The following is a 23,073-nucleotide window of genomic DNA, read 5'->3' as shown; positions in this document are numbered from 1 at the left end:
TACATTTTAGTCTATTAAATGTGCAATAGCATTATGTCTGAAAATATACACACTTCAATTTAAAAAGTACTTTATTGTTAAACAAATACTGGCAGTCAACTTAAACAAATTTAAAAGAAAAAAAAACAACCCCATCAAAAAGTGGGCAAAGGGTATGAACAGACACTTCTCAAAAGAAGACATTTATGCAGCCAACAGACACATAAAAAATGCTCATCATCACTGGTCATTAGAGAAATGCAAATCAAAACCACAATGAGATGCCATCTCACACCAGTTAGAATGTCGATCATTAAAAAGTCAGGAAACAACAGGTGCTGGAAAGGATGTGGAGAAATAGGAACACTTTTACACTGTTGGTGGGAGTGTAAATTAGTTCAACCACTGTGGAAGACAGTGTAGCAATTCCTCAAAGGTCTAGAATCAGAAATACCACCTGACCCAGCAATCCCATTACTGGGTATATACCCAAAGGATTATAAATCTATAAATTCTACTATAAAGACACATGCACATGCATGTTTATTGCAGCACTGTTCACAATAGCAAAAGACTTGGAACCAGCCCAAATGTCCATCAACGATAGACTGGATAAAGAAAATGTGGCACATATACACCATGGAATACTGTGCAGCCATAACAAAGGATGAGTTCGTATCCTTTGCAGAGACATGGATGAAGCTGGAAACCATCATTCTCAGCAAACTAACACAGGAACAGAAAACCAAACACGGCATGTTCTCACTCATAAGTGGGAGTTGAACAATGAGAACACATGGACACAGGGAGGGGACCATCACACACCAGCGTCTGTCAGAGGGTGGGGGGCTAGGGGAGGGATAGCATTAGGAAAAATACCTAATGTAGATGACGGGTTGATGGGTGCAGCAAACCACCAATGCACTTGTGTATATATGCAACAAAACTGTATGTTCTGAACTTGTATCCCAGAACTTCAAGTATAATAAAAAAAAAAATGCTGACAGTCACCTGAACCTTTAGCGAGTTGTAATCTTTTTTGCTGATGGAGGGTCTTGCCTTAATGTTGATGGCTGCTGACTGATCAGGGTGGTGGTTGCAGAAGGCTGGGATGGCTGAGGCAGTTTCTTAAAATAAGACAAAATTGAAGTTTGATGCATCAATTGACTCTTCCTTTCATGAAAAATTTGTCTGTAGCTTGTGATGCTATTTGATAGCAGTTTGCCCACAGTAGAACTTTCAAAATTGGAGTCAATCCTCTGGAACCCTGAAGCTGCTTTATCAACTAAGTTTATGGAATATTCTAAATCTTTTGTTGTCATTTCAACAATGTTCACAGCATCTTCACTAGAAGTAGACTGTACCTCAAAAATCTACTTTCTTTTGTTTCTTCAACTTTTATTTTAAGTTCTGGGATACATGTGCAGGATGTTCAGGTTTGTTACATATGTAAACGTGTGCCATGGTGGTTTGCTGCACAGATCATCCCATCACCTAGGTATAAAGCCCAGCAACCATTAGCGATTCTTCCTGATGCTCTCCCTCCTCTGGCCCCCAACCCTGTGACAGGCCCCAGGGTGTGTTTTTCCCCTCCCTGTGTCCATGTGTTCTCATTGTTCATCTCCCACTTATAAGTGAGAACATGTGGTGTTTGATTTTCTGTTCCTGCATTAGTTTGCTGGAGATAATGGCTTCCAGCTCCATCCATGTCCCTGCAAAGGACATGATCTCATTCCTTTTTATAGCTGCATAGTATTCCATGGTATATATGTACCACAGTTAGACAATCCAGTTCATCATTGATGGGCATTTGGGTTGATTCCATGTCTTTGCTATTGTGAATAGTGCTGCAATGAACATATTCGTGCATGTATCTTTATAATAGAGTGATTTATATTCCTTTGGGTATATATCCCATAATGGGATTGCTGGGTCAAATGGTATTTCTGGTTCTAGGTCTTCAAGGAATTGCCACACTGTCTTCCACAATGGCTGAACTAATTTACACTCCTACCAACCGTGTAAAAGCATTCCTTCTTCTCTGCAACCTCACGGCATCTGTTGTTTCTTGACTTTTTAATAATCGCCATTCTGACTGGCATGAGCTGGTATCTCATTGTGGTTTTTATTTGCATTTCTCTAATGATCAGTGATGTTGAGCTTTTTTTCATATGTTTGTTGGCCTCATGAATGTCTTCTTTTGAGAAATGTCTGTTCATGTCCTTTGCCCACTTTTTAATGGGGCTTTTTTCCTTGTAAATTTGTTTAAGTTCCTTGTAGACTTTAAATATTAGACCTTTGTCAGACAGATAGATTGCAAGAATTTTCTCCCATTCTGTAGATTGTCTGTTCACTCTGATGATAGTTTCATTTGCTGTGCAGAAGCTCTTTAATTTAAGTAGAACCATTTGTCAATTTTTACTTTTGTTGCAATTGCTTTTGGCATTTTCATCATGAAATCTTTGCCCATGCCTATGTCCCAAATGGCATTGCCTAGATCAAAAATCTATTTTCTTTCCTCCTTCATAAGAAGTAACTCCTCATCCATTAAAGTTTTAACATAAGATTCTAGCAATTCAGTCTCATCTTTAGGCCCCGCTTCTAATTCTAGTTCTCTTGCTATTTCCACTACATCTGTAGTGACTTCCTCCACTGAAGTCTTGAACCCCTCAAAGTCACCATGAGGGTTGGAATCAACTTCTTCCAAACTCCTGCTAATGTTGATATTTTGACCTCTTCCCATGAATCACAAATGTTCCTAATTGCATCTGGAGTGGCGAATTCTTTCCAGAGGTTTGCAACTTTCTTTGCCCAGTTCTAGCCGAGGAATAATTATCTATGGCAGCTATACGCTTACAAAATATATTTCTTAAATAATAAGACTTAAAAGTCAAAATTACTTCTTGATCCATAGGCAACAGAATGGATGTTGCTAGTAAACATGAAAACAACATTCATCTCCTTATACCTCTCCATCAGAGCTCCTGAGTGACCAAGCACATGGTCAATGAGCAGTAATCTTTTGAAAGGAATGTGTTTTTTATTTTTTTTCCTGAGTATAGGTCCTAATAGTGTGTTTAACATATTTGGTAAACTATGCTGTAAACAGATGTGCTGTCATCCAGGCCTTGTTCCATGTATAGAGCACAGACAGAGTAGATTTAGCATATTTTTTAAGGGCCCTAGGATTTTCAAAATGGTGAATATGCTTTGGCTTCAACTTAATGTCACCAGCTACATTAGTCCCTAATCAAAGAGTTAGCCCATTATTTGAAGCTTTGAAGCCAGGTATTGACTCCTCTTTATCTGTGAAAGTCCCCAGTGGCATCTTCTTCCAATAGAAGACTGTTTTATCTGTGTTGAAAATCCGTTGTTAGTGTAGCTATCTTCCTTAATTACGTTAGCTAGATCTGGATAACTTGCTGCAGCTTCTCCATCAGCACTCACACTTTTATGTTATGGAGATGGCTTCTTTCCTTAAACCTCATGGACCAACCTCTGCTAGCTTTTCTTCTGCAGCTTCCTTGTCTCTCTCAGACTTCATAGAATCTAAGAGAGTTTAGACCTTGCTCCAGATTAGGCTTTGGCTTAAGGGAATGTTGTGGCTGGTTTGATCTTCTGTTCAGACCACTAAAACTTTCTCCATGTCAGCAATAAGGCTGTTTTGCTTTCTTATCATTTGTGTGTTCACTGGAGTAGCACTTTTAATTTCCTTACAGAACTTTTCCTTTGCATTCACAGCTTGGCTAACTGTTTGACAAGAGGCCTAGCTTTTGGCCTATGGCCTATCTCAGCTTTCGACATGCCTTCCTCACTAAACTTAATCATTCCTAGTTTTTTACTTAAAGTGAGAGACGTGTGACTCTTCCTTTTACTTGAACTTTAGAGGCCAATGCAAAATAATTAATCGGCCTAATTTCAATATTATTGTGTCTCAGGGAAAGGGAGGCCTGTGGAGAGGGAGAGAGGGGAATGGCCAGTTGGTGGAGCAGTCAGAACACATACAACATTGATTGATTTGTGTGGTTTGTGGGGCCCCAAAACAATTACAATAGTAACATCAAAAATGACGGATTACAGATCACCATAACAGAGATAATAATAATGAAAACGTTTGAAATATTTTGTGAATTACCAAAATGTGACACAGAGACATGCAGTGGGCACATGCAGTTGAAAAACTGGTGTCTATAGAATTGCTTTACACAGGGTTGCTGCAAATCTTCAGTTTGTAAAGCAAAAACAAAACAAAACAACAACAACAGAACCTCAGTATCTGGGAAGTGCAATAAAAAGAGATGTACCTGTATCAGGAGAGCAGGTGTACGAAGCCTCTGGGAGACCTCTGTAATAGACAGGTGAGAAGTTGTTAAGCTGTGAATGAGGAGAACTAGGGAAGGAGAAGCAGAGATAAATATGAGGGATGTTAAGGAGGTAGACTTGGAAAAAAAAAACTTGGCTACATATTGTTTGGAGGAAGAATACAGTATTCATTCATTTATTCATCACATATTTTTTAGTTAGTTACAATGTACCAGGCACTATGCTATGCTCTGGAGAAGTAATGGTAAATAAAACAGAGGTAGTCTCTGTTCATGGATATTATATTTTGGTAGGGGACTTAAAAGTCAAATAATCGCAAATAAATATAAAATCATAAGTGGTCTGAAATATGGGGGCAGGATGGTATGGATTGTGTATGTATAACAGAGAGCCTCACCTAGTCCACAGTTAAGGGGAGATTGCTGCGAGGAAGAGAGGTTTAAATTGGGATCCTAAGGGTAGACGGAAATAAAATCGATGCTGGAAGGGTTGTTGTGGTGGAGGAGAGAATTACAGGCAGAGCCAGCATGGACAAAGGCCTTGTGGTTGTGGGAAGTACAAGAGTGAGGAACTGAAAAAAGAACAGAGGAGCTGGAATATAAAGAAAAAGTAGGGAGTGGTGTGAGGGACAGCTGGAGAGGAGGTAGAAGGCAGCCACACAGGGCCATGAAGGCTGTGCAAAGTATTTTGGCATCTATCCTCAGGGCAAATATGAGGTTTAAGCAAAGTGGTGTGTGTGTGTGTGTGTGTGTGTGTGTGTGTGTGATCTGACCTTATTTGGACTGTATTAATTTTATAAAGATCACGTTGGCTGCAGCATAGAGAATGGATTGGAGAGAACGAGAGTGGAGCCTTGTGGGAGATCCATCAAGCCTGCTGTGGTTGTCATGGTGAGACTTGGGCAGCTGGAGCTAGGGTAGTGACATTAAAGACGGAGGGAAGTGGATAGCTCTGAGAGACATCTAACTGTCAGCATTAATAGGGCTTGGTGATATGCTGGGAATGGGAAGTGAGAGAGAAAGAAAGGATATGTTTGTAGGTATCTGGTTTGGATGATGGGTAGATAACTATTTTATATTCTCTGAAACTGGAAAAACAGGAAAATGCATGGGTAAGGGAGGAATGTCTTCAAGTTGAACATGATATGTCCAGTAATCATTTAGAGTTCCAGAGTATGATCTGGGTAAAGATATAGACTTGTGAGTCATCAGTCTATAAGAAATGACCACATATGTGGTAATGTAATATACCTGATAAGCAAGGAAGATTATGCAGTATAAGAAGAGAAGAGATTGAAGGCAGAAGCCTAGGCAGAGATCCAGGAAGAGGAGCCATCCATGGAGGATGGGGAAAAGGAAAGTCATCATGGGCCAAAGCCACTGATGACATCAAAGGGGACGAATTTGTCAGTCTCAAGGAGAAAAGAGAGAACCATTGAATGTTGAGTCTTCAGAAAACATCTATTTCTCTTTAAAAACCAAAGGCTGAAATATACTGTATTTTTATGAAATAACAAAATAGCTTATTAAAAATTGAGAAAGTAGGTGCTCAAACATCATCACATCCTGCTGGACTTGTCTTTGTCCCTGAATATACTACTTCCTTTTCCCCCTCTAATGCTTTGGGTACAGCATACTGAGGCTGAATGCCGGCCCCACCCAAATATGTTGGACTGAAATCAGAAGAATAAAAGAAACAACAACCCACAAGTAAACATAACAAATTTAATCAAACAATCAATTCTTATGTCTTCTTCTTCCTGCCTCTCCACATATAAAGAGAAGATTTTTCACTATCCACGTGTACACAAACTGATTTGGACAAAAGCCTCTATCAGAAGTGATTGGGAATGTCAGGGCTTCCAAATTCCTCCCCAGCAGCTTGCTAGATGCTCAGGAAGGCACAGTTTCTCACTGGGGACATGTGGGGTCCCAAAACCTTGAAAGGATGTTTAATGAATGCTTCCACTAACTAAAATCTTGGGGATGTTGCCCTTGGTAATTTATTGTGAAGTGTATGAGTCCTCATTAGCCCCCTTTTCAATCAACACATAGTTATTACGTATCTATTATTTGTTAAACACTGGGGTGGCTCCAAAGGAATATAAATTCTGGCTTCCTTCCAGCTTGGCCCACATTCCCTTTACTTCAAGGACTCTCTTGACGCCTCCAGCCCTCAGTTATACCACCCTCCTTTGTACTCTTGTTGGCCTCATATGCTCTTGTAATATCCAGTTTTAGCAAGATGATGGCTCAGAGATGGCTTGGACTCTGCGGTTCTGAGACAGCGCTTGGCAGGTTAATTGTATATTAATCAGGGCCAGATGGATGTAATCAGACTTGCAGAAAGATTTTAAAAGGTTCTGGACTCACCAAAATGTTCACCAGCCTGGAAACATTCTGATAAAGATAACAAAGGTTAACAACCCTCAGGAGGATTCTACATATTTATAGGATGGGACCCAAAGCATTCTGATGTAATTGAATAAAAATATTGACCTTCCCAATGGAATAGAGCATACTTAGGCCTACATGTGGAGTCATATCTCTCCTGTGTTGTATCATCCAGTTCTTGCTGCAGGATCTGAACTCAGTTTTCACAGACTGCCTGTGTTCATCTATCTTGTATAGTCTTGGCTCACACACAGTTACAGAGGAGGTTTGCCTTTGAGGTCTTCTTCATGCCATTATGTTCATTCTCTACCCAAGGTGCTAATGCTCTCCTCTGGATTCTGGGCTGAAATTCTTCCCCTTTAGCCATTGTCTGGGTGCATTGCGATCTTCCTGTAGGGAAGTTTGTACAGCATCTCATTCCCTCGAAGCTCTACTCTCCATTCTAAAGTGATCTCTAGTTATTTTTGATACAATAGCCTGTGTTTAGTTTATAACAGCTGATAACGGGTTAATGTGCTACCCTTCTCTGGGATATATAGACCTAGAATCACAGGGCTCAAAACAAAGAGTGAAACAAACAAGATTTCAGAAACTTGATGGGGAGATACCACGGGCTATAAAGCTGGGCTTGTTCATTGTGGCTGATGTCTCCTGAACAATGGATACGTTTTGATATGTTTTCTTTTCTCAGAACCAGAATGTTAAAAATTAGTTAATGACTTTTGAAATAAATTTGGCAATGTGAGATTCCAAGGATTAGAATAATACCTGCTTAACTTCTAAGGACAATCTGTCTTGCATGCTAGAATTTTGTTCTTGCTAATGACTTGAATTGCTAATCTAGCCCATCAATCAGCAGGCTTTGCATGGTACTATGACTTAATTAGTATACATTAATTATATGTATGCATTAACTTGTATTTAATTATACTAATTAAGTTTAGTTTAATGGCAGACTGTCTAGACTTCAGTGTCCTGCCTTTTCTGATTCCAGGCACCTAATATAGCTAACATCAACACACTTGGTTTCTCCTTGCACCCCATTTTCTTTTCAATAAAAAATTATTATCATTATTATTAATTTTTCTTTGTAGAGATAAAGTGTCACAATGTAGCCCAGGCTGGTCTTGAACTCCTTGCCTCATGTGATCCTCCTGTCTTGGCCTCCCAAAGTGCTGGGATTGCAGGTGTGAGCCACAGCAATTGGCCCCAATTTTCTTTTATGTTCTCCGTTTTTTTCTTAATAGGCTCTGTCTCTTCCTCCCCTTACAGGGTGCTCTGGCCACAGGCTATGGGTTGTGTAGCTGCTGCGTTATATCAGAAATCCTGGCAGGACTGGGTCAAATCAGGGAGTGGGAGGCCCTCACTCAGAGAAGGCTCCTTTCAGCAGCGTGATGGGGATGGAGCACAATGGGTCAAGCCTGGAGCTCTCCTGCAGGGCAGCTGTGTTCCCGCTTCTCCCCTTACTCCCTGTCTGTCCTCACCCCAAGCAAAACATTCACCAAGTTATCTCCTTGTGGTTTCTCCACAATCTGTTCACATCATCATGTTAGTCATCCTTCCTTTGGTTTGCTCTTGGACGGTGTTTATCAGTTACCTCAGCTAATCCCACGGAACATGTTTCCTGGATTCCTACCTAGATCCTCCATTTACCCTACTATGTATTTAGAAAATAGGCACTGGCATAAGTGTCTATATGCATTTTTTCATTTAATCCTCATCACAACCCTGACACTTATTTCATGGTTAAGCAAACTGAGGCCGAGGGAGATGAAATAACTTTCCTGTTGCAATGTCCCACTGCTTCAAAAATGTTGTGTTCCTACATATTGTCCTCTGTTTTCTTCTTTCCCAATGCAATGGTGCCCACATCTTCTCTCCACTTGCATTTCCACAGTTGCCTCAGACCTGGAAGTCTACAAAAGCCTTCTGTCTCTTCACCTCTCACTTCCTACCCTCTTGGAGCGTGAGGGAAAGCCTCAGGGAAGGGAGTCTGGTTGGACTTCCAGAATGAGGATGATAAAACTGTTCCTGAGCCATGAAGGTCCTGAGATGACTGCCAAAGGCACATAGTGGGTGCTTAGTAAGTGATCATTGAAAGAATGGGCAAATGAACTGGACAGTGATGAGTACAGTCTTTTATGTTTGGTGTGTGTATTATGCTATGATATGATACATTTAGCGGCTCCTAACCATGATGTTTACCCACAACACTGTGTAGCAAACCATCCTGAGGCTTTTTCACAAAGAGTTAAAACAGCTTTCCAATAATTTATTACAAAGATAGTTTACAGCCCAATTCAAGGCCATCACTGAGAATTGGATAAACTTTTCTTGAATGGGAAGAAAAGGTTAAGATAACCCAGAATCTGTCTGGTGTTTTCACAGCCTGAAGTGAGAGATTTTTAAATCTCTCAGAAAGTTTGCTGCACTCTTTGTTATACTTCTCTTCCAATTTGAGGGTGAATTTTTTTTTTCAAAATCTGGCTCTGCCCATAACATTAAGCATATTGTGGCAAAGGCAGTGTAATGTGCTTATAGGGAGTCACTAAACTGTTTCTTTTCCCTATGTGGTGCACGGAAAGACTATGTTTCCCAGCCCTTGGATCTAGATAGGATCATGTGACTAATGCACACCAGTGAAGTGTGAGCAGGAAATGTGTATATTACTTTTAGGAGATCATGAGGTATCTGGTGTACCTTCCTTACTCTCTCTTCTCTTTCCTGTTTGCTTGGGACAAGAAATGGAGGGTTCCAAGATGGCAGAGCAGCATGATGAAAAGAGCCTGAATCTCTCTTTCAGGCTGTTTCCATCACCACTCAGGGGAGAGCTGTGAAATCAAAGCAGATTGTGATTCTCAGATTGTGATTTCTCATTCATTAAGAGAAATGAATTGTTATTTATTAGTGTTACTTCCCTTGACTAATACTTATATAATGTATATCATGACAGAAAGGTCAAGAACCACTGGCATTTATTTTAACTCTAAGTTTACTCAAAAGTATTTCCTGACATTGACATTTGAGAGAGTTTGGTTCACACCTATAATCCCAGCACTTTGGGAGGCTGAGGTGGGCAGATCACCTGAGGTCAGGAGTTTGAAATCAGCCTGGCCAATGTGGTGAAACCCCATCTCTACTAAAAATACAAAAATTAGCCAGGCGTGGTGGTGCATGCCTGTAGTCCCAGCTACTCAGGAGGCTGAGGCAGGAGAATAGCTTGAACCTGGGAGGCAGAGGTTGCAATGAGCTGAGATCATGCCACTGTACTCCAGCCTAGGTGACAGAGCAAGACTCCATCTCAAAAAAACAAACAAACAAAAACAAAAACGCGCGCGCGCGCGCGCGCGCGCGAGAGAGAGAGAGAGAGAGAGAGAGAGAGAGAGAGTTTATTCTATTTTATTTCTATTTCTAAAACATCATTGTCATTGTCATCGTCGTCATCATCATCATCATCATTGCCTTAACAAATTGAGCACTTACTGTGGGTCCTGTAGAATCCTAGGGTACTCTCACATAGCCTGTTAAATCAGTACCTATCATCTGCCTCTCCCTACTATGCCCTTGCCACACAGCCAGATTATTTGATCCTTGGAAATGCCAAGCATGTTTCTACCTTAGGGCTTGACATTTGTTTCATCTGGCTGGAATATTCTTCCCCATATCTTTGCTGGTTGTCTCATATGAATCATTCAGTTGCATATAAATTATGACCTCCACAGCAACACATTCCCTGATCATTCAAACGAAAGTATCCATCTGGTTTCTCTCTCTTTGTAGCCCTGTTCTATTAAATTCATGGATCATTTGAAATTATCTTGCTTCCTTATGTATTATTTATATCTTCCCTGGGTCCCTTCCTCCTCACCACTGTAGCCTCAGCCCTGGAAGGATGCCTAGTACACAGTAGGTGCTCAGTAAATACTTGTTGAGTGAATAAATAAATAAACCTTACATAGTAGAAACTATGACTTTTTTCTTTCTTTTTAAAAATGATACCTATTATATAGATTGTGCCTGTGACTACAGTGAAAAGTTCGGCCCACCAGCTAAGCTTTTTTATTTAAAGAAAGCCAAGTATCCAGATATTTACAAATGGTAAATGTTTAGAATAGTGTAGATTCTGCTATTTGACAGATGGATTCAAACCGTTTAGATGGACTTAATACCTAAAAGATACCTAAAAGTATTAAAATCAATCCTTTGATGCATGTTTGAACCATGTTCACTATTTTAAATGTCTAGGTCTTGCAAATGCATTTATTTTTCTTCAGAAATGCAAACCTTTTCCTTCTGAGGGACAGTATTTCTTAAGTTTTGGAATTGTACTCATTATAACTCTGTCTCTCAGATTCATTATGCTCATTAGCATAGGTAAGGCTTTGAGAAGTCCTGCACTTAAGAAACCTGTTTAATTTTATTTAATCCAGTATTTCCCGAATTATTTGACACTGGGCTTTTTTTTGGTCCACGTAATGACTATTAATATTTTAAACAAAACTCACTGGGAAACACCGCTCCAGAGTATGCTAAAAATTTATAGTGATTTTAATGGTTGCTACAAAGAGGTTTGCTTCCCAAGTTTGCAGCTCTGTCTATGTTACAAAAAATTTGTCATTTTGTTTCACAAACTTCTAACACATAAAAGGAAATAAACTATGCATTGTTATATATTTGCAGCTTTCTGTTTTGTTGAAAGGATCTTTTATTTATTTATTATTTATTATTCTTACCTTCCCAATAGCTCATTGATATGGTCTAATCAATCTTCCTGTCACGGATAAGAGCTTTCATGGCTGTGGGGTTAACATATTTTCTTTAAAAATGTAGCACTCATCAACTATGTTCTCTTATCTTAATCCAATTCCACAAATGTGGAAATATCTTTTTCATAAATTCAGAGATGAAGCGTTGACTGAGGAAGAATATGATCCAGATATAAGATCATCCTAACAAAAGATGTCTTTTTCCTACAGGAATTTTCTGAATTTTAGGTTCTCAATTAATCAAGCAATCATCAATACTTATGAATTCACTTAGTATGTGTTCAATTTTATATTTTTTGCTGAGGCATCTGAAGAAATATGAGACAATGTACCTGTCCCAGTGAAGCTTACTGTCTCTCTAGAGAGAGATCATGATTACTCTCAGAGCAATTACAGTAGAGCTGAATCTATAGACTATAGGGTCTGAAATTCATAGCAGAGGAAAATCCTTTAATTAAACATATTTCAAGCTTATTGATGCAGTTATCTCTTTGCAGAACTCCTACTCACCTGCCTACCATGACCAATTTAAGTACACGAGGAATTCTTATTGTGTAATTTAAATTTATGTGTGAATCTGTTAAGGAAAAATTAGGACATTTTGTCCAGTCATAAACATTGGTTTGGTCAATTTGGGGGTCAATTTTTCCCTTTTCTTTCTTTTTTTGGAGACAGAATCTCACTTTGTCACCTCAACTGGAGTGTAGTGCCTTGATCTCGGCTCACTGCAACCTCTCCCTCCCAGGTTCAAGCGATTTTCCTGCCTCAGCCTCACAAGTAGCTGGGATTACAGGTGCCCGCCACCATGCCCAGATAATTTTTGTATTTTTAGTAAAGGTAGCGTTTCACCATATTGGCCAGGCAGATCTCAAACTCCTGACCTCAAGTGATCCACCTGCCTAGGCCTCCAAAAATGTTGCGATTACAGGCATGAGCCACCGTGCCTGGCCAATTTTTCATACCTAATATATAAGGTGAATTATCTCTCTTTCTCTCTCTTTAGAGACAGGTTCTTGCTCCGTCACGTGGGCTGGAGTGCAGTGGTACAATCATAGCTCACCACAGTCTCAAACTTTTGGGCTCATGCAATCCTCCCATCTCAGGCTCCTGAGTAGCTAAGACTACAGGTGTGCACCACCACGCCTGGCTAATTTTTAAATTTTCTGTAGAGTCGAGGGTCTTGTGACGTTGCTCAGTCTGGTTTTGAACTCTTGGGCTCAAGCAGTCCTCCTGCCTCAGCCTCTCCAAGCATTGGGATCATAGGCATGGGCCACATTGCCCAGCCTGAATTTTCATTTTTAATTCTCATTTTCCATATATTAATAGATTTGGATTTTCTTGGGTCAATAACTACAGGAATATTTTTCCTTTTGAGTTTTACTTAGGCTGCATAAACATGTGAATGTGGTTTAAAAATTAATGTAAAGTTAAATATTTTAAACCACTACACACACACATGTTATTCCATGGACAGATTGGAAAGATGCTGGGCCTATATCCCCATAAAGTTGGGGAGCTTGAGAAGCACCGTGGCAGAAATTGATAAGAGGTAGGCTAGTTAATAACCTGAGCTCCTTACATGGATGGCAAGTGTCCATGAGTTTCCTTGGACTCAGAATATGAAGCAAAGACATTAGCTGTGAACAGGATCCAAGAGGCCACTAGGCAAAGTGAGCACACTTCATGAATGAAGTCTATGCAGGAGACTGATCACTGGTGGTGGGGGCTGTGTCCATGCTACCATAGGATCATTCAGGCCAGGAAGTTGCACAGAGACCCAGTTGGGTGGCTATCGAACACTACTTGCCTGAGTCTGTATCAGGTATTTATTCTTTATGTACAGTCAAATGCCCATGTACCTGAGAAGATGAGCAAAATCATACCAAGAATGAGAATATACTACCCCGCTCCCTGTCTTGTTCACCATATACTTACTTGTTGTACCTGATTGTCCAAATTTTCCATGCCTTCCATAGAGTGTGATGTGAGTGGGAGTGCAGAATAAGCTTTGAAAACTCCTTTAAAAAATAACTGAGTTTAAATTGAGTTTTGAGTTAGATTATGTTGTACTAGATTTTTCTGTTTCTGAGCCGTAATGGAGGAACCAGAGTAGAGATCAGTGGTAGAAAATAGAGCTTTACTTTTGCAACATTGTAACCAAGAAATCTCATATCCACTACACACACAATGAGCTCATGTATTCCCTTCTAACTCTCACCAAAGTGAAATGGAAAGAACCGATCCACTCCATTTACACAGATTCCTGTGTCAGGAGATATATTGCTCTTTTGTGATTTTTTTTTCATCAAAGATGAATCTTGATATACCTTTGTATAAAAGGAGGCATACAGGAAGGGAAACGTGGAGGAAAGGAAGGGAAGAGATCCTACAGATTGGTTTGCTCCAGTAGATACTCTAGCAATATTCATCAGCAAACTTCCAGGGTTGCTACATACAATATTCATTCATTTATGGAATTTTTTCCATAATATTACCATTTGGAGCCTGATCTTAGGGAGGATTTTCCTATAAGAGCATAAAGTGTTAAAAATGAGTTCTGGCTTCCATAGATATTTTAATAAATCCCAATAGGCAACTATAATTTTAAATTTGTTAAAGCATTTTCAAAGGCTAATGTCAATAGCAAAAAAATAAAGAAGAAAAAATATCCACATGCAGCATAAATATGACATGGCTCACTGAGTCTTCTCATCTCTTTGACCTTTTCCTGTGGTAATGTTGGCATTCTTTCTATTAAGGAAACAATACATGGCATTTTAAAATGAAATTAGAGTTAAATGGAGTTGGGGAGATTTCATCTGGGAAGTAAGATCAAAGTGTTGTTTTAGAAACACTCATCTAATTTTTTTTAGTGCAGTGTCTTTGGAAAATGTTATTAAAATACAAATACATTTAAGAGCAAACTGGAGGAGGGAGATATAGGAATCTGGGGAAAATATTTTGTAATTATGTGGTAAGTCTATTATGTAGCAACCCTCTTTCAAGATTAAACAAATGGTAGGTGGTCTGTTGGGCACATGCAGGAGCCGACAGGATCCAGTTATACCTGAGAAGCAGAAGTTTGGCCCTGGAATACATGGTATGGAGAACTATGTTTTGGGGGATGTTTTCGTTATCCTCAGACGTAAGAAGAGGTAATGCATACTCAAACAGCTGTAATTTATATAGTAGAAATCTCAGCTAGAGAATACAAGCTGTTTTTCACCTTAGCATTTAGATGTATCTGGCCATTTTTTAGCATATCAACTGGGTTAACTAGTGTTTTACTTGCAGAAGGGATTGTGAGAAATTATCACAAAATGATCCCTATTTTCCATCCTTCCCTTCAGCCACATCCTTTGCAAAGTGAGTTTGTAGCTCTTCTCATCAGGGATGGAATCTAGTTCCTCAGCTCTGGAATTTGGGCTGGTCTTTTGACTTGCTTTGGCCAACAGAATGCAGGGGGAATAAAATTATGACAGTGTTACGCCTAGGTCTCAGGAGACCAAAATGCTTCTGTTTTTCTTCTTGGAATCTCATCACTGTCATAGAAATCAGCTTGCACTGGCCTACTAGATGATGAGCAACACTTGGCCTGGTCACTGTTGTCACCACAATGGACAGTCAGTCAACCATCAGACACGTGAGAAAATCTGGGATCAGCCAGCCTTTGGCCAGTTGACCCCAGATGCATGATTAAGCCCAGCTGGATATCAACTGAATTGGCTCAAATCAGAAACATTTTGCTGAATCATAGACTCATTAACAACAATAATAATTTTTTAAATGACTACATTTTGGGATGATTAAATCCCAAAATGCAGCCAAACATACTGACAGAGACCAGGGTATCCCCTGGGAAAGCCAGTACCCTGAAGGTAAGGGCCACTAACAAGCACTAATTTGGTACAAAGATAATGGGCCATTTCAGAGTGGAGGATGAAATAGAGCAGTGGTTCTCAAAGCTTGGGTCTAGGACTAGTAGCATCTGCGTCACCTAGGAACTTGTTGGAAATTCAGCCCTTTAGCTGACACCTTGGACTCACTGAATCAGAAACTCTGAGGGTAGGGTCCAACAATCTGTGCTTTAACAAGCCCTCCAAATGATTCTGATTCATATGAAAGTTTGAAAACCACTGAGATATATTTAAAAGGCCTGGGATAGGAATAAAGTTTCTTATACTTCTGCCCTGGCAATTCCTCAGGTGATACAATTTGGTGATTTTAGAAACACAAAATTAAGTGACCCAGATAAATACAATTATTTATAAAGGATAGGGATTTCAGGCAGTTTGAAGGCAAATCATTTCTATTCAACTTGATGCTACCTATTTTGTTTTGAGTATCAGAAACTTAGAATCCGTCTCAAAATCTGCAATAATGGTGCTTAAAAATCAATATCCACAGTAGTTTTTGAAACACTGACTATGAGATGGATACTGCTGGCACCATGACGATGCCTATTACTAGCACATCACCCTGGTGCCACCGCTATCGTCACTATAGCCAACTCCTTCCTAAGTGCAGGCACTGTGCTTAATACTTCACACTAATCAACCCAGTTGCTGCTAAAAACAATTCAGTGAAGCAGGAATTATTATTTTTATTTCAAAAATGAGGACGCAGAGGGACTTAGAGGGATTAAGTAATTTGCCAAAGGTAGTACAGTAGAATCTCTGCTAAGCAGGAAGTTAATGTTTCTCTTTTGAAACGCAATAGGAAACAGTGATACACTGCAAAATATTTAACAACTAGCTTTCTGGAAAATAACAGCCACTGAACACCCCCGCCCGACCTTTGCTTTTTTAGTGTTTGCTAATTTCCATGGTATAAATATTGATACTATAACTGATTTCAAGCTACCATTGTGAAGAAACTGTTTGTGGAGTTGGGAAGAGATGCACACAGTTGGCTCTTATGACCTGATATGAGCCAGCTCCACATCATTGAGGGGAAACATGAATGAATCCTACTTCCTGGGGTCCATAGATGTGATTATTTTAAATTTGATCTTTAAAGTAAGTAATTATTTTCAGAGAGGACCATTTCATCACTTTCCGGTATAATCAAAAAAGACATTAAAACCATTCTGTCTTAAGTTTGAATTTCAGCCCTGACTTTACAAAGAAAATATATTTAAAAAAATCATCTGCTTTCATGAACTTTTGGGAGATACTCATTTTATGGAGTTAGAGCTGGGTGGTAGAACCTTATGAAAACATTTTTTCTTGCCCCCATGACTTTAGGGAAGGATGCTTATCTAGTAAAATTGTTTTTTAAGAGATGGGGTCTTGTTCTGTCGTCCAGTCTGGAGTGCAGTGGCAGTGGTGTGATTATAGCTTACTGCAGCCTCAAACTCCTGGGCTCAAGTGATCTTCCTACTTTAGCCTCTCAAGTAGCTGGAACTACAGGTGCATGTCATCATGCCTGGCTGATTTTTTTTTATTTTTAGTAGAGACAGGGTCTTGCTAGTTTTCCCAGTCGATTTTGAACTTCTGGTCTCATGTGATCCTATTGCCTTAGCCTCCAACCTTCTGGGATTACAGGCATGAGCTTGCACCTGGCCCTATTTAATTTTGTTGATCTCTAAGCATAAAGGCTTTACCACATTTCTCAGTATTCTAAATGAGTGCTTTATCAACCTCAAGAAGGCTCTCTCCTAGGTTGATACGAAAGCGCTTCAAGTGTAATTTAAACCTCTTCCCTTTGTTTTATCACTACAGACATGAAAAGTGATTGACTGGCATTCACCTCTTAGAAACTCTCCTACATTGACAAAAGATGTTAAAAGATTACTTTAGTATCTAATTCCAACTTCTTTAAAAATAACCTTTCATCATTACATAAAGAGGAAGATTTCCAGTTAGGCAGGCTGTCATTATTGGTTCCTTAAGAGTACATTCTTAAGACCTCTCAAATTACGAAGCAAGAATGTCCTGACCTATTTTTGACATATACCCTTCTTCATTTCATCCAATGTTGGGATATTTTTTATTGTGGTAAGAGCACTTAACATGATATCTATGCTCTTAACAAATTTTTATGTGTATAATACAGTATTGTTAACTATAGACATGATGATGTACAGCAGATCTCTAGAACTTATTCATCTTGCATAATTGAGACTTTATGTTAGATTTTTAAAGAGAAAAATGCACCAGGCATACACTTCCAGTTCTGTAAATGGCTTCTCATTTATATTTCACTGGGTTCAGCTTCAAGAGATTAATCCATTTGGAATATCTTGGCTGTAATGCTTTTAGAAAAATAGGAAAAGTAATACTGCCTTTAAGTGACTGTACCTTCTGCAATAAAGAGGGAGATAACTTTTCCTATAGAAGTTTGATTTCATGTGGAAAGGCATAAGATACACTATAAGGTGTTGAATTTTTTCATTATTGCTCTTTCCCACCTCCACCACTCAAGTAAGAGACAATGTTTAAAAATATATAGGTAACTTCTTTATTAAAATGTATGGAAGGAAGTTATTTAAAAATGTGTTCTTTTGATATCTCTTAGCAGGAACCCTCTTCCTACCCTCTCTCACTGCATATTGGTTTGGCTTTGTATTTTTTTTTGTTGTTGTTGCTATGGGAAAATCTGATTCTGAGTTTTTCACTTCAGTTTGAGTAGAAGCAGAAGATCCTTGGGAAAGTTACAGACCCTGACCTTTATGTCCCTGGCAGTGACATCCCAAGGATAGGAAACGGTGGGGAAATCAGGTGCCAGTTCATGAGCTGACAAAGCATGCTAGAAGGATGAACAATAAAGGGCCTGGTAGAGAGGAAAAAAGAAATTCAAGAGTTAAAACGAGCAGGGTTAAAATTATGCTGACCTTGCCTTCCTAACTTAGCTGAGACTTTGGAAAATCATGTAACTTCTCAGTGTTTTTAACTATAAAAGTTAGGCCAGTGCTGTATACTGCAAAGGATGAAATAAGTTAATGTACATATTACCATCTAGTTTAATGTCTGGTACATAGTAAGTGTTCAAAAATGCTTGTAGGTCATCTGCATTCAGACTGCTTAGGATTTCCAGGATACACTTGAGCAAATTTTCATATATTTTCCTTTGTTGGTAGAATAGCATCATTTCATGTAATTCATGGGTCTCTTTGCCTTCTTTCCTGGTTGCTGATCTTTGCTTGTGTTGCTGAAGTTTTACATTGGCACGCCTAAACTTCTATATAGCATAGAAATGGAGTATTAAAAGTAAGGTTTTTTTTCCTTTCTTCTTTTATTTATTTTTTTCCTACCTAAGCTATTCTAACTAACTCCCTCATGACAGCTGAGTGAAATTTTAGTATTAGTTTGCTGGACAGAATTTTTAGGGAAGTCAGTTCACTATGACTTCTGCTCTCTGAAACCTTGAAATGCAATTCAAATTTAAAGAGGCAGAATCAGCTCATAAAGTGTGATTTCAGGATTAGACTAGCTCTTCGAGATAGCAAAACTGTGGTCTCCTGAAATTCTAGAGCCAATGCTTATCTACATTTAAGATTTTATTTGGAACTGTCACTTTGCTCAAATTCTAAAGATCCTGTAATCATTTTATTATTCATGTTATCTTTAACTCTTAAACTGTGCTTATCAATTCTCTCAAGACATATTGATACTTTCCTCAGCAAAATATGAAATACACTATGTTTGAGGATAAAAAAACTACGATCACCTTACGTAATATAGAATTTGATATCAAAAGTGATGTGATAGCATCAAAGTCAAAATATGTGACACTGACTTAGCATTTGGTTTCCTGGCAATGGGCAGTAGGGTAATTGATATTGGAATCTGGAAAGATAAAGACTCATCCTATTTGGTGGCAATGCATTTGGTAAAGCCATTATCCTATGAGAGCTCGGAAAACAGACAAAGTGAAGACAAAGTATACAGCTCTAGGAAAATAAATTGGAAAATGGAATATTATTAGAGTGTGTTAATTATTGATTAGTTATTCAAAGAAAGATATGAGCTGCGGCAAGAACTGGCTGGTTAACAAGCAGAAATTTTAAAAAAAATGTAGGAACAAAATGTGGGGGCTTAAGACATTGTAAAGGCCAATTGCTTCTAGACCCGGTGTCTAGAAATTTGAGAGAAATAGGCATGGTGAGGAGAGGGAGGGTGGCAACAAGTCAGAAAGATAAAGCAGGTTTCAGAATTATATCTAGCAAAAACAAATTTGGGTGTTTACTGGCACACGAACTTGTCTGGAACAAATAGATACAAAATCTACTAAGGGCCAGGCACAGTGGCTCATGCTTGTTATCCTAGCACTTTGGGAGGCCAAGGTGGGAGGATCACTTCAGCCCAGGAGTTAGACATGAGCTGGGGCAACAAAGCGAGACCCCGTCTCTACAAAATATAAAAATAAAAAAATCAGCCAGGTGTGGTGGTGCATGCCTGAAGTCCCAGCTGCTCGGGAGGCTGAGGTGGGAGAATTGCTTGAGACCAGGAGTTTGAGGATGCAGTGAGCTATGATTGCACCACTGCACTCCAGCCTGAGTGACAGAGCAAGACCTTGTCTCTAAGGAAAAAAAAAAACCCAATAGCCTATTAAGTTTCAAGAGAATTCTACTGTTAAAGAAATCATAAGTCTGAACTAAAAAGCCTTAATGATTTACATCTTAGAACTCTTGGGCTGCCAAATGGGAAGTGAACTGTGAAAATTGTACTGTCTCTAAGAAGACCAGGCTCTCCTACTTCCTGTGTTGTTTTGGAGGATAGCATGTATGGAAGTCCCTCTCTGAAATCAGAGACAAGGCCTACAAGAGCAATGGAAAAGGGAGTTCTCTCCAGGGAGTGTCTCCTGGGATTGCAGATGGTTGAGTTCTGGCAAATAGAAAGTGGGTGGATCTGATGTATGCACATTTCCAGGTGTGGCTCAGAAAAACCACCCATGTGCAATTCTCTTTTTCTTTCTTTATCTGCTGATAGGGAGTCACTGGCCAAGATAACCTTGGAAGCCAATAAAATATCAGGGTTTTTGTTGTTGTTGTTGTTACAGCAGCTATGAATGACCTAACTGGTACACAAAATAAACGCATTAAATTGGCCGCATTTAAGCACCACTCCCTTAAATAACAGCATCTAGCCTGATTCTTAGAGCCAAAGTCTTTGTTAGTTAATTTCTTGCTAACTATAAAATGTTATAAAGTGAAAATCAACTGCAAAGATATCTCGAGAGCCTGGCAATGTTGAACAATAAGAATCAAGAGAGAAAGGGACCTTGTTACTCCTCAGTTTAGCAGGAGGGTTCGTGAACATTCTCTTTAGAGAGCTGCCCCTTAACACTCCAGGGACTGAGGGTCTGTGTTTCCCGCCATTGCCTTTCATATTCCCAGAAGAGACAAACTCATTGTCTAAGGAACAACCAGTCTAGAATTAGGCTGATCCTTTTTTTTTTCTTTTTTGAGTCTGTCCACAACATTTGATTGCTACTGCATATATCCAGTTTTCAAGTTAAATTTGCTGAATTCCTTTAACCATCCTTTTCTAAAGACATTTTCCAGACCTTTTTCACCATCGAGGTTGCTTTCTTCCAAATACAATCCATTTTGACAGTTTTCTTAAAATGTGGTACTACAGATTGGGCTGAGTGGTGCAGAGGATACGGAGCTTCCTTCCTTTGATGTGCTAATGGTACCTCATATTCTATTAACTGCCATGGCCTTTAATAGCCAGGTCAAACTTGTAGGCTAATTTTGAAATTTGAGTCAACTCATTTTAACAGTCTTCCTTTTTGTTTACTTTTTAAACACTCCTTTTCTCCCTCCCTTTCTCTCTTGCTCTCTTTGTCTCTTGAATACAAACTTTTCAGCTAGAACTTGCTTCTCTTGCTGTTTTGCCAGAGACTTCTCTGAAGCATACGTAACACATAACTTTACATTCATTGGATTTCATTGTTGTTTTCCACTCACTATTTCAGTTTATATAGAGTATCTTTATTTTTTAAACTCTGAAGGCTATTTCTTTAAATAAAAGTTTTAATTTTTTAATTTTAATTTTTTCAAAAAATGAGATGGGTTCTCACTATGTTGTCCAAGCTGGCCTCGAGCTCCCAGGCTCATGTGATCCTCCCATCTCAGCCTCCTGAGTAGCTGAGACTACAGACATGCATCACTATGCTCAGCTTCTTACAAAAGCAATTTGCTGTACATTTGCAGAAACTTTGGAAATACCGAGACATATAAGAAGAAATTAAAAGTCTGCTACGTAGTCCCATTTCTTAGGAACAAATAATACTTCAGTGTACTAATTACTTTAATGTACATGTCTCAATTTCAATAGCAGCACCCTGTGAGGCTATCATATTTTGACTTGTACAGTCATTCCGCTCCTCATTTATGAGCCGACATGAATCTATGAATAGCTCCACAGGCTTTTACATAGTTTTGCCAGTCTCTGCTCTGATAACAGATGCATTGAGACTCCAGAGAGCCCCTCAGATTCTTTATTGATTCATCATCTTCAAACACCAGAAGGACTAATGGAGAAGCAGAAACATCTAACAATCAACCAGTTGTTCTGTCTCCTTGATGCAAAACAACTAACTTCAGAGTTTTTTCCTTCCTTAATTGATGAGTTATTTGAGACTTATTCCCAAGCTCAAGAGACTCACATCAAAATGCTCATGGTGGGAATCTCTCAGTCTTGCTTATACAACCCTGTTTATATGCATTAAGGAGTTATCTGCTGAATGAAATTCCCCAGGTCAGCGAGGACTCAAATCATTTTCAAATTGGGTTAAATTTGCCATTTCTTTGGCTTTCGACAGAGAAGAATGGGAGGTCTCTGGAGCCTGCAACCTGATCGGCTCTCATCCTCTAGTGTTTCCTTCTAACAGACAGGGTGTGATCCATGTGGCATTACCTCATGTAAAGCACGAGCCCACTGTGTTCTTTAGTCATCTGTGGGGCATGATAGTGTGTTGAGAGACAGGGGTCCTCGTTTTGTTGAATTCTGAAAGTTGATCTTGGAGTAATAGTTTTTTAAATGGCAAACCATAAAGTTTATTTGCACAAAAATCAGAGCTTGGTGACTTCTTTACAATGAGCTAATTTTGGCTCTTTTCCAGAACAAAAGTGAAGTGGTGGCAAAGTGCTGGACCAGATGTTAGAAGTCTCCAATTTGCTCTCGACAACAACAATCCACAAGTAACCCTGAGAAAAGTCATCTCTGTTTCCCCACTGGTAAATAATGGTAAGAAAAATAGTGCCTAGTGGGGCTTACGTAGAGGACTGGGAAGCTGAACTGTGAAAAATGATTCCAAGGTTTCTGGTCACCATGGCTACTACTCTTTTGTACCCAGTTCTTTGCTCCTCAAGGAGCCTTGTTTTCTATACTTGTGAATATTTCAACCAACTAATAAAGATTTAATGGCAATGTGTAAAGTTACTTTTTCTCCCTGGACATCCATTTCTTCATTTTGTGAAATCAGAACATCAGACTCAGTTTGACATGAACAGACTTTTCTCAAAAGAAGACAAACAAGTAGCCAACAAACATGAAAAAGTGCTCAACATCACTAATTGTCAGAGAAATACAAATTAAAACCACAACGAGATACCCTGTTATACCAGTAAGAAGGGCTATTATTAAGTCAAAAAACAACAG

At 39.1% G+C, this 23,073-nt stretch overlaps 1 long non-coding RNA gene across 1 annotated transcript in view; it reads left to right on the top strand.

Moving 5' to 3' along the window:
• LOC105372926 (uncharacterized) overlaps positions 1–22,842 on the top strand; it is a 198,874-nt gene extending 176,032 nt beyond the window's left edge. Inside the window, exon 6 of the long non-coding RNA XR_001738473.2 lies at positions 22,535–22,842. This is a non-coding gene — a long non-coding RNA (uncharacterized LOC105372926). The remainder of the gene's footprint in view (positions 1–22,534) is intronic.
• The last annotated feature ends 231 nt before the right edge of the window (positions 22,843–23,073 follow it).

Source organism: Homo sapiens, chromosome 1, assembly GCF_000001405.40.
Source record: "Homo sapiens chromosome 1, GRCh38.p14 Primary Assembly".
NCBI classification, from domain to species: Eukaryota; Metazoa; Chordata; class Mammalia; order Primates; family Hominidae; genus Homo; species Homo sapiens.
Note: the sequence above shows the minus strand (reverse complement) of the source record. Positions and strands in the feature narration are given on the sequence as shown.